Below are 12,926 nucleotides of genomic sequence, written 5' to 3' on the forward strand. Positions count from 1 at the left end.
TGAGGTCAGGAGTTTGAGACCAGCCTGGCCAGTATGGTGAAACCCCGTCTCTACTAAAAATACAAAAATTAGGTGTGGTGGCGCGTGCCTGTAGTCCCAGCTACTCGGGAGGCTGAGACAGGAGAATCCCTTGAACCCTGGAGGCAGAGGTTGCAGTGAGCCAAGATCGTGCCACTGTACTCCAGCCTGAGTGACAGAGCAAGACTGCATCTCAAAGAAAAAAAAAAAAACCCACACACAAAAAAACCAAAAGAGACTCAAATCCCTGCTTTCTTCTTCTTCTTCTTTTTTTTTTTTTTTGAGACAGAGTCTTGCTCTGTCGCCCAGGCTGGAGTACAGTGGCGCGATCTCGGCTCACTGCAACCCCCGCCTCCTGGGCTCAAGCCGTTCTTCTGCCTCAGCAGCCCGAGTAGCTAGGATTACAGGCACGAGTCACCACGTCCAGCTAATTGTTTTCTATTTTTAGTAGAGACGGGTTTCACCATGTTGGCCAGGCTGGTCTTGAACTCCTGACCTCAAGTGATCCGCCCACCTCAGCCTCCCAAAGTGCTGGGATTACAGGCATGAGCCACTGTGCCCACCCAAATCCCTGCTTTCAAATACCCACCTCTTCTCATGTCATGGCTACATTCTGCACTTGCAGAATATTGAAGTAATTCCATATATATATATATATATATATATATATATATATATATACACACACATATATATGTATATACATATACATGAATATACATATACATGAATATATGTATATACATATACATGAATATACATATACATGAATATATGTATATTTACGCATATATATTATATATATTTACTACATATGTATTTTATATATATACATATATATATATTTTTTAATTGAGACGGAGTCTCAATCTGTCGCCCAGGCTGGAGTGCAGTGGTGCAATCTGGGCTCACTGCAACCTCTGCCTCCTGGGTTCAAGCAATTCTCTGCTTCAGCCTCCTGAGTAGCTGAGATTACAAGCCCCCACCACCACGCCCAGCTAATTTTTTTGTATTTTTAGTAGAAATGGGTTTCACCATCTTGGCCAGGCTGGTCTTCAACGCCTGACCTTGTGATCCACCCGCCTTGGCCTCCCAAAGTGCTGGGATTACAGGCATGAGCCCCCATGCCCAGCCATATATTCTATATGTATATGTGTGGCAGTCTACTATGTGCCAGTCACTAAACTAGGCACTGGTAAAACAAACAATGGAGTGCAAAAAACAGTCATGGCCCCTGCCCTCCTGGAGCTAACAAACCTTCTTGGAAGAGGCAGGCATTGATCAAAAGACTATATGAATAGGGCTAAGCACAGTGGCTCAGGCCTGTAATCCCAACACTTTGGAAGGATGAGCCAGGTGGATCACCTGAGGTCAGGAGTTCAAGACCAGCCTGGCCAACATGGCAAAACCCTGTCTCCACTAAAAATACAAAAAAATTAGCTGAGCATGGTGACACATATCTATATTCCCAGCTACTCAGGAAGCTGAGGAAGGAGAATCCCTTGAATCCAGGTGGTGGAGGTTGCAGTGAGCTGAGATCATGCCACTGCACTCCAGCCTCGTAGACAGAGCGAGACTCAAAAAAAAAAGAAAAAAAAAGACTATATAAATAAATGAAGATGCACAACTGTGACAATTGCTATAAGAGACATTTATGGTGCTATAAGAGCAAATAAGAGGAAGATTTGGGCCAAGCTCGGTGGCTCACACCGGTAATCCCAGCACCTTGGGAGGCTGAGATGGGCTGATCTCAAAAAAAAAAAAAAAAAAACAAAAAAAAAAAAGTAAGATTTGAGGAGCAGCGTATAACAGGTAAAGAATATTCCTGGCAAATAATAGACTGTGCAATAGCCTTGCAGCAGAATGAAGCATGGTGTCTTTAAGGACTACAGGAAGACCATGTGGCTATAGCAAAGATGCTTAGGAAGAGCCCAACCATGTAATACCTTCTAAGCCAGGGAAGGTGAGTCTGGTTTGTTGTTGTTGTGGTTGTTTAGATGGAGTCTTGCTCTGTCACCCTGGCTGGAGTGCAGTGGTTAGATCTCGACTCACTGCAACCTTTGCCCCCCGGGTTCAAGCGATTCTTTTGCCTCAGCCCCTCCAGTAGCTGGGATTACAGGTACACACCACCACACCCGGCTAATTTTTGTATTTTTAGTAGAAACGGGTTTTTACTATGTTGGTCAGGCTGGTCTCGAACTCCTGACCTCGTGATCCCCCCGCCTCAGCCTCCCAAAGTGTTGGGATTACAGGCGTAAGCCACACGCCTGGCCTAATTTTTATTTTTATAGACATGGGGCCTCACTTTGTTGCCCAGCCTGATCTTGAACTCGTGGGCACAAGCAATCCTCCCACCTTGGCCTCCCAAAGTGCTGATTACAGATATGAACCTCCATGCCCAGCAGTTTTTTCAACACTTACAGAACTAGTCTCATTGCCTCTTCTTCAGAGATACCAGCACCTGGCTGCCCAATGCCCCATACTCACAAGTCTGGTTTCTACCCCTTGGGGTTCTTCCTCTGAGTTCAGAGACACGAGCACCTGTCAATCAATACCTCCTCCTCAGAGGTCTGAGTGTCGGCTGTGTTTGGCCACTCCCCCTCTAAATTTCTATGTTTTAATAACTCCAACCTCTTCCTTTTGTTCCCTCAGCCCTAGGGGTGGTAGCTGTTCCTACAGTTACTACCACCATGAAACTTTAGGTTTCGCCTTTTACTTCTTCAGTTACTTAGTTAACAATCCACTAAGTTACACTGTCTCTGTCCAAATGCCATGTGATTTCTACCTCCTTACAGGACCTTGACTAATATATAAGGATTGTTATTTATCCTTCAAGGTCCAGTTCAAGTGCTGCCTTCTAATGTGTCTTTTCCATTATCCTCAGTTAAAATTATCCATCCAGTTAATTCATAATGTCTTTCTTGAAAAGCCAATAGGCGTTTGTTTTTATAATTATATGCCCAGTCACACTCATATGCCTACTCACATCTCTTTGTTGTCCTACAGTTATACTGAAACTTCTTTACTCAAATTAACTCTGATCCAAAAAAATTGCCTACCAATTATAATAGAGAAGAGTAGGTATAGAGCAAGAAGGAACAAACATGGGTTCTAATCCATTCAATTACATAATGTAATTCTGCACAGTTTACTTAAACTCTCAGTTAAATTTGTTTCTCTAGCCTCACAGACGGCTCTGAGGATTAAGTAGAATAAATGTGGAAAGGATTAAGTAAGATAATATGTGTGAAGCATTTACCACAGTGCCTGTCTAATGCCCCAAGTATTCAATAAATATAAACTATTGGCCGGGCGCGGTGGCTCATGCCTGTAATCCCAGCATTTTGGGAGGCCAAGGCGGGTGGATCACAAAGTCAGGCATTCCAGAACAGCCTGGCCAACATGGTGAAACCCGTCTCTACTAAAAATACAAAAATTAGCCGGGCATGGAAGCAGGCACCTGTAATCTCAGCTACTCGGGAGGCTGAGGCAGGAGAATTGCTTGAACTTGGGAGGAGGAAGTTGCAGTGAGCCAAGATCGTTGCCACTGCACTCCAGCCTGGGCGACAGAGCAAGACTCCATCTCAAAACAAAACAAAACAAAACAAAAAGAGTTATGCTGAGTCTTCTCTGCCTATGTTCTATAAATGGAACAATAAAGCCTGGATGACAGCACATCTGTTTACAACATAGTTTATTGAATATTTCAAGCCCACTGTTGAGACGTACTACTCAGAAAAAAAAAAAAAAAAAAAGATTCCTTTCAAACTATTACTGCTCATTGACAATGCACCTGGTCACCCAAAAGCTCTCAGGGAGATATACAAGGAGATATACAAGATATACATGCCTGCTAAAACAACATTCATTCTGCAGTCCATGAATGAAGGAATAATTTGGACTTCCATGTCTTTATCTTTATTTTTAAAAAATGTTTATTTTTATTTCTATTTATTTATTTATTTATTTATTTATTTTTGAGACAGAATCTCACACTGTCGCCCAGGCTAGAGTTCAGTGGCTCGATCTCGCTCACTGCAACCTCCGCCTCCTGGGTTCAAGCGATTCTCCTGTCTTGGCCTCCTGAGTAGCTGGGATTACAGGCGCTCACCACTACGCCCAGCTGATTTTTGTATTTCTTTAGTAGAGATGGAAATTCACTGTGTTGGTCAGGCTGATCTCGAACTCCTGTCTTCAAGTGATCTGCCTACCTCAGCCTCAATAAAGTGCTGGGATTACAGGCGTGAGTCACTATACCTGGCCTTTATTTTTTATTCCTCAGCGATTTTTATATAGAGATCAGGTCCCACTATGTTGTTTAGGCTGGTCTGGAACACCTGGGCTCAAGCAATTCTCCTGCTTTAGCCTCCCAAAATGTAAGCCACCATGCCAAGCCTGACTTTCAAATCTTATTGTTTAAGAAATACCTGGCCGGGATACCTGGCCGGGGCCAGACCTGGTGGATCACGCCTGTAATCCCAGCACTTTGGGAGGCAGAGGCAGGTGAATCACCTGAGATCAGGAGTTCAAGACCAGGCTGGCCAACATGGTAAAACAACGTCTCTACTAAAAATACAAAAATTAGCTGGGCATGGTGGTGGGCACCTGTAATCCTAGCTACTCAGTAGGCTGAGGCAGAAGAATTGTTTGCACTTGGGAGAAGGAGGTTGCAGTGAGCCAAGATCGTGCCATTGCACTCCAGCCTGGGCGACAAGAGCAAAATTCCGTCAAAAAAAAAAAAAAAAGAAGGAAGGAAGAAAGATAGATAGATAGATCTGGCTGGGTGTGGTGCCTCACACCTGTAATCCCAGCACTTTGAGAGGCTGAGGTGGGTGGATCACCTGAGGTCAGGAGTTTGAGATCAACCTGGCCAATATGGTGAAACCTCGTCTCTACTAAAAACAGAAAAATAGGGGCTGGGCGGGGTGGCTCACGCTTGTAATCCCAGCGCTTTGGAAGGCCAAGGCAGGCAGATCACAAGTTCAGGAGTCCGAGACCAGCCTGTGCAACATGGTGAAACCCCTTCTCTACTAAGAATAATTTAAAAAAAAATAGCCAGGCGTGGTGGCGCATGCCTGTAATCCCAGCTACTCAGGAGACTGAGGCAGGAGAATCACTTGAACCCAGGGGGCGGAGGTTGCAGTGAGCCGAGGTCACACCACTGCACTCCAGCCTGGGCAACAAGAGTGAAACTCTGTCTCAAAACAACAACAACAAAAAGACACTCTACATTTTCTTATATTTATTTAGTTCCTTACTTAGTTATTTTGAGACAGTCTGGCTCTGTCACCCAGTGGAATGCAGTGGCACAATCATGGCTCACTGTAACCTCAAACTCCTGGACTCAAGCAATTCTCTCACCTCAGCTTCCCAAGTAGTTGGGACTACAGGCACTTGCCATCACACCTGGCTACTTCATAAAGTTTTTTTGTTTGTTTTTTGAGGCAGAGTCTTGTTCTGTTGCTCAAGCTGGAGTGTACTGGCATGATCTTGGCTCACTGCAAACTCTGGATCCTGGGTTCAAGTGATTCTCCTGCTTTAGCCTCCCGAGTAGCTGGGATTACAGGTGTGCGCCACCATGCCCAGCTGATTTTTTTTGTATTCTTTTAGTAGAGATGGGGTTTCACCATGTTGGCCAGGCTGGTCTCGAACCCCTGACCACCTGCCTTAGCCTCCCAAAGTGCTGGAATTACAGGCATGAAACACTGTGCCCAGCCCAACAATATATTTTATACAATGGAATAAATATAAGGTCCTTATTATTTTGTTTTATGTTACTGCTGCATAGTATTCCTTGTGTGGACATATTATAATTTGCTTAATCAGTCCCCTATTGATGGCCATGTGGGTGACTTCCAATTTTCTGCCTATAAGCTCAGCACTTTGGGAAGCCAAGGCTAGAGGATCACTTGAGCCCAGGAATTCAAGACCAGCCTGTGCAACATGGTGAGACCCTGTCTCTACAAAAAAATTTAAAAGGCCAGGTGTGGTGGCTCATGCCTATAATCCCAGCACTTTGGGAGGCTGAGGCAGACAGATCACTAGAGCCCAGCAGTTCAAGACCAGCCTGGGCAACATGGTGAAACTCTCTGTCTACAAAAATAATACAAAACTTAGCCGGATGAGGTGGCTCACACCTGTAGTCCCAGCTACTTGGGAGGCTTAGATGGGAGGATCTCTTGAACCCAGGAGATGGAGGTTGCAGTGAGCCAATATCACACCACAGCACTCCAGTCTGAGCAACAAAGCAAGGCTCCATCTCAAAAAATACATCAATAAATAAAATTTTTAAATAATAAAAATAATTTAAAAATTAAAGTTAGCCAGGCATAATGGCATGCATCTGTAGTTCCAGCCACTTGGGAGGCTGAGGTGGGAGGATCACTTGGTCAGGAAAGGTCGAGGCTGCAGTGAGTTATGATCGTGCCACTGCACTCCAGCCAGGGCTAAAAAGCCAGACTTTGTCTCTTAAATAAATATATAAAATAAAAAGAGAAGTTTTGGAAATTATCGTGATGATCTTGTGTGGGAAATATTCTGAACACACAAAAAGGACAAGACATTAAAGAAAATATTATAAATTCAAGTACATAAAATATTTATATTTTATTCATGGATATACATATACACATGGGTAGTCTCAGAAGCGTTAGGGAATTGAGACAGAATGGAAGCTAAAGAAGAGTAACAGGTCAGGTGTGGTGGCTCACACCTGTAATTCCAGCATGTTGGGGGGCCAAGGCCAGCGAATCAGGAGGTCAGGAGATCTAGACCATCCTGGGCTAACGCAGTGAAACCCCATCTCTACTAAAAATACAAAAAATTAGGCCGGGCGCAGTGGCTCACGCCTGTAATCCCAGCACTTTGGGAGGCCGAGGCAGGCAGATCATGAGGTCAAGAGATCTAGACCATCCTGGCCGATATGGTGAAACCCTGTGCCTATACAAAAATTAGCTGTGCATTGTGGCGCTTGCCTGTAGTCCCAGCTACTCAGGAGGCTGAGACAGAAGGGAGGCGGAGGTTGCAGTGAGCCAAGATTACGCCACTGCACTCCAGCCTGGTGAAAGAGCGAGACTCCGTTTAAAAAAAAAAAAAAATTTAGCCAGGCGTGGTGGCACGTGCCTGTATTCCCAGCTACCGGGGAGGCTGAGGCAGGACGCCAGTGCACTCCAGCCTGGGCAACAGAGCAAGACTCTGTCTCAAAGAAAAAAAGAAAAAAGAAGAAGAATAACAAAGAGGAGCCATTCATTTACTTTGTTTTCAATGTTTATATGTTTATAAACAATGTTGCAATAAATAATTTCCCTACTGATAGTCAATCACAACTTTTCCATTGTTATAAACCATGCTTCAATAAACATCCTTTTATATTCAAAAAACAAGACAAAAACCAAAAAGAAAGGAAAAAGTGGGGCTGTGTCTGGCTTAGTGGGAATTGGGTGCCAAGAAACAAAAGCATGATTGAGTGTTATCTGTGTAATTATGTGCATTTGAGGTTAAAAAAAAGGAGGACAGTAGAAATGTTGATAATTGCTGGGCGCGATGTAATCCCAGCACTTTGGGAGGCCAAGGCGGGTGGATCACCAGAGGTCCGGAGTTTGAGACCAGCTTGGCCAACATGGAGAAGCCCTGTCTCTAGTAAAAATATAAAATTAGCTGGGCATGGTGGCGCATACCTATAATCCCAGCTATTTGGGATTCTCTTGGGATTAAGGAGAATCGCTCAAACTCGGGAGTTGGAGGTTGCGGTGAGCTGAGATCACGCCACTGCACTCCAGCCTAGGCAACAAGAGCAAAACTCTATCTCCAAAAAAAAAAAAAAAGAAGGAAAAGAAATGTTGATAATTAATGCTCTGCCACCCGGACCTCTGCGAATCCCTTCTTGTCTGCTTACTGACTCACCAAGACCCTAAGGCTCTCTCTCCCTTCACTGTCACCCTACACTTACAGATTTGAAATCTTGCTTCCTTCATTTCACCCTCCCCAGCCTAGTGCATACTTCCCTTGGGCCTAAAAAGGTATCTGAAGTCCAATCTGAATTCCAAATTCCACACTCTAAATAGCACCACTAAAGAAAGTCACTGGAGGAACAATTATGGAAAAACAGGCACTGACAGGTACTCTCACGCCTTGTTCCATTTTCCCTGCTTTCCTTGACTATGTCATTGTCCTATCCCCTCGCCCCAACCCACGACTACTTCACAAGCACCAAACTCTTTTCAGCCTTTATTCTTTTTTTTTTTTTTTTTTTTTTTGGGGACAGAGTCTTGCCCTGTCGCTCAGGCTGGAGTGCAATGGCGACATCTCAGCTCACTGCAACCTCCGCCTCCCGGGTTCAAGCAGAGGCTCCTGCCTTAGCCTCCCGAGTAGCTGGGATTACAGGCGCGCACCACCACCACCACACCCGGCTAATTTTTTGTAACTTTAGTAGAGATGCGGTTTCACCATGTTGGCCAAGCTGGTCTGGAACTCCTGTCCTTGTGATCCACCTGCCTTCGCCTCCCAAAGTGCTGGGATTAGAGCCATGAGCCACTGCGTCCAGCCTTCACCCTTTATTATTTTCAGAGTTATTTATCCTACAAGCTACATCATTGCCCCTCCTCCTCTTCCCTATCTCCTTTCATTTTCAGGGGAGCCTATTTATTAGAGGAAGTAAACTGAAGGCAGAAATCTTCAAATACCTGGCTAAAATAAAAATTATTTTTTTTAGCCGGGTGCGGTGGCTCACACCTGTAATCCCAGCACTTTGGGATGCTGAGGCAGGCAGATCACCTGAGGTCAGGAGTCCAGACTAGCCTGGCCAACATGGTGAAACCCCACCTCTACTAAAAATACAAAAATTAGCCAGGTGTGGTAGTGCATGCTTGTAATCCCAGTTACTCCGGAGGCTGAGGCAGGAGAATCGCATGAGCCCAGGAGACGGAGGTTGCAGTGAGCCAAGACTGCACCATTGCACTCCAGCCTGGGCAACAGAGTAAGAATCCGTCTCAAAAATAAATAAATTAATTAATTAAAAAAAATAAAATTGTATTTAAAAAACTCCAAAACCCTTCTTTTTTTTTTTTTTTTTTTTTTTTTTTTTTTTTTTTTTTTTGGGATGGAGTCTCTCACTCTGTCGCCAGGCTGGAGTGCAGTGGCATGATCTCAGCTCACTGCAACCTCCACCTCCTGGGTTCAAGCGTTTCTCCTGCCTCAGCCTCCCGAGAGTAGCTGAGACTACAGTCACACACCACCACGCCCAGCTAATTTTTGTATTTTTAGTAGAGACGGGGTTTCACCATGTTGGCCAGGATGGTCTTGATCTCTTGACATTGTGATCCGCCCGCCTCGGCCTCCCAAAGTGCTGGGATTACAGGCGTGAGCCACCATGCCCAGCCAACATTTCTTAAAAAAAATAAAAGCCACAATCTGGGTGCAGTGGCTCATGCCTGTAATTCCAGCACTTTGGGAGGCCGAGGCAGTTGGATCACCTGAGGTCAGGAGTTCAAGACCAGCCTGACCAGCGTAGAAAAACCCTATCTCTACTAAAAATACAAAACCAGCCTGGCATGGTGGCACATGCCTGTAATCCCAGCTACTCTGGAGGCTGAGGCAGGGGAATCGCCTTGGGAGGTGGAAGTTGTGGTGAGCCAAGGTCATACCATTGCACTCCAGCCTGGGCAACAAGAGAGAAACTATGTCTCAAAAAAATAAAATAAAATAAAATAAAATAATTAAAAAATTAGCCAGGTGTTGTAGCGGGTGCCTATAATCCCAGCTACTTTGGAGGCTGAGGCAGGAGAATCACTTGAACCAGGGACGCGCAGTTTGCAGTGAGCTGAGGTCATGCCGTTGCACTCCAGTTTGGGCAAAAAGAGCAAAATTTAATCTCAAAAAAAAATATCCTTTCATCATGTCCTTTCACAGATTAGCTCTTATCTGCCCTTTTTTTTTTTTTTTTTTTTTTTTTGAGACAGAGTCTCACTCTGTCGCCCAGGCTGGGGTGCAGTGACATGATCTCCGCTCACTGCCTCAGTTCCTGCCTCAGCCTCCTGAGTACCTGGGATTACAGGCATGCACCACCACACCAGGCTAATATTTGTACTTTTAGTAGACACACGGTTTCACCATGTTAGCCAGGCTGGTCTCAAACTCCTGACATCATGATTCGTCTACCTCAGTCTCCCAAAATGCTGGGATTACAGGCGTGAGCCACTATGCCTGGCCACGCCCAGCTAATTTTTGTATTTTAGTAGATATATGGTTTCACCATGTTGGCCCAGCTGGTCTCAAGCTCCTGACCTCAATGATCCACCCACCTTGGCCTCCCAAAGTGCTGGGATTACAGGTGTCAGCCACCCTGCCAGCCTCTTATCTGCCATTCTAATGGAATCTGCTCAACTCTCTACCCCACCCATGCAACTCACTTTCATACAGAATTCCTGTATGCATGAAAACATGCCCAGCCAGGCACGGTGGCTCATTGCTGTAATTCCAGCTCTTTGTTAGGCTGAGGCCGACAGATGGCTTGAAACCAGCCTGGCCAACATGGTGAAACCCTGACTCTACTAAAAATATGAAAATTAGCCAGGTGTGGTGGTGCATACCTGTAATCCCAGCTACTCAAGAGGCTGAGGCATGAGAATTGCTTGAACCCTGGAGGCAGAGGTTGTGGCAAGCCGAGATGTCACCACTGTACTCCAGCCTGGGTGACAGAGTGAGACAATGTCTTAAAAAAATAAAAAAATTAGGGCTGGGTGCAGTGGCTCATGCTTTAAATCCCAGTGCTTTGGGAGGCTGAGGCCGGCAGATCATGAGGTCAGGAGTTTGAGACTAGTCTGGCCAACATGATGAAACGCCATCTCTACTAAAAATACAAAAAAAATTAGCTGGGCATGGTGGCAGGCACCTGCAATCCCAGTTACTCAGGACGCTGAGGAAAAAGAATTGCTTGAACCTGGGAGGCAGAGGTTGCTGTGAGCTGATACCTCGCCACTGCACTCCAGCCTGGGCAACAGAGTGAGACTCTGTCTCAAGAATAAAATAAAATAAAATAAAATAAAATAAAATAAAATAAAATAAATAAATAAAAAAACAAAATGCTTGGCTGGATGTGGTGGTTCACACCTGTAATCCCAGCACTTTGGGAGGCCAAGGCAGGAGAATTGCTTGAGCCCAGGAGTCTGAGATCAGTCTGGGCCACATAGCGAGACCCCGTCTCTATGTTAAAAAAAAAAAATAGGAAAAAAGAAAAAAAAGCATGCCCCTGTCTATATTTTATTTTCACCGAGTAATGTGCTCTATTTCTGGAAATACTTTCATCCTTCCTTCCTCTGGCTCTCCACTGATGCATCTCCAAAGCAACTCCAATCAATTCAACAAATAGTTGTTAAACAACCAGCACATTCTAGGCAGGATGCTAGGAGCTGGGGGGATCGAGATAAACAAGAAGCAGTCCTGTTCCCAGAGAAGTTCACAATCTGATGGTAAAAGCAAATACAATTATGTAAGAAAATAAATCAAATTAGGCCAGGTGTAATGGCTCACGCCTGTAATCCCAGCGCTTTGGGAGGCTGAGGTGGGCAGATCATGAGGTCAGGAGATCGAGATCATCCTGGCTAAAATACAAAATACTAAAAATACAAAAATTAGCCCGGCATAGTGGTGGACACCTGTAATCCCAGTTACTTGGGAGGCTGCGCAGGAGGATAACGAGGTCAGGAGATCAAGACCATCTTGGCTACGTAGGAGAATCGATAGAACCTGGAAGGCAGAGGTTGCAGTGAACTGAGATTGCTCCACTGCACTCCAGCCTGGGTGAGAAGAACAAAACTCCATCTCAAAAAAAAAAAGAAAAAAAAATTTCGGCTGGGCGCAGTGGCTCATGTCTGTAATTCCAGCACTTTGGGAGGCTGAGGCAGGAGGATCATGAGGTCAGGAGATCGAGACCATCTTGGCTAACATGGTGAAACCCCGTCTCTACTAAAAATACAAAAATTAGCTGGGCATGGTGGTGGGCGCCTGTACTCCCAGCTACTTGGGAGGCTGAGGCAGGAGAATGGCGTGAACCTGGGAGGCGGAGCTTGCAGTGAGCCAAGATCACCCCACTGCACTCCAGCCTGGGCGACAGAGTGAGACTCTGTCTCTAAAAAAAACAAGTTTTGTTTAATGAAAAAAGTAAGGTGAACAACAACATGAATAAATGTTCCTTTTGTGTTAAAGGATCAATATAAGAACTGTATCAAAGTTTGCTTATATATATGTAAAGAAATACTGATGGTGTGCACCTGTAGTCCCAGCTACTTGGGAGGCTGAGGTGGGAGGACTGCTTGAGCCCAGGAGTTTGAAGCTGCAGTAAGCTGTGATCGTGGCGCTGCACTCCAGCCTGGGCAACAGAGCAAGATCCTGACACAAACGATTCATTAAAAAAGTAAGTGTCATGTTTACCAATTGGAACTGGACCAATGAGGGACAAGAATTTCAGGGAGACTTTGTATTGTACAACGTTTATGTAATTTCCAGTATTTGAACCATGTGACAACATTAACTGTTTAAAATTAAATTACAAGAAGTTTGGAGACTGAAGTGGATTACCTGGATATTCCAAGACTGTTTGTTTAATTTACCTCTTTATAACCTCCATTCTCTTAGTCCCTGAGGCGAAAATCCTCCCCGTTTCCCTTTATCTCTAGGCTCGTAAGAATTTTAACCCACAAGAAATATTTATTAGGTATGTTTAAATTACAGGTAACAGTGACTGGAGTGCAATGGTGTGATCCCAGCTCACTGCAACTTCTGCCTTCTGGGTTCAAGCGATTCTGCCGCCTCAGCCTCCCGAGTCGCTGGGATTACAGGATGCGCCACGACGCCTGGCAAATTTTTGTATTTTAGTAGAGATGGGGTTTCACCGTGTTGGCCAGGCTGGTCTC

General features: G+C 44.9%; 1 annotated feature.

Moving 5' to 3' along the window:
* Window positions 7,880-8,080: a silencer, noted in NCBI's record as "peak4202 fragment used in MPRA reporter construct". NCBI's record gives its function as "represses an SCP1 promoter by STARR-seq MPRAs in K562 erythroleukemia cells {active_cell/tissue: K562}" and the evidence as "EXISTENCE:reporter gene assay evidence [ECO:0000049][PMID:32103011]".

This window comes from Homo sapiens, chromosome 20, assembly GCF_000001405.40.
Source record: "Homo sapiens chromosome 20, GRCh38.p14 Primary Assembly".
NCBI classification, from domain to species: domain Eukaryota; kingdom Metazoa; phylum Chordata; class Mammalia; order Primates; family Hominidae; genus Homo; species Homo sapiens.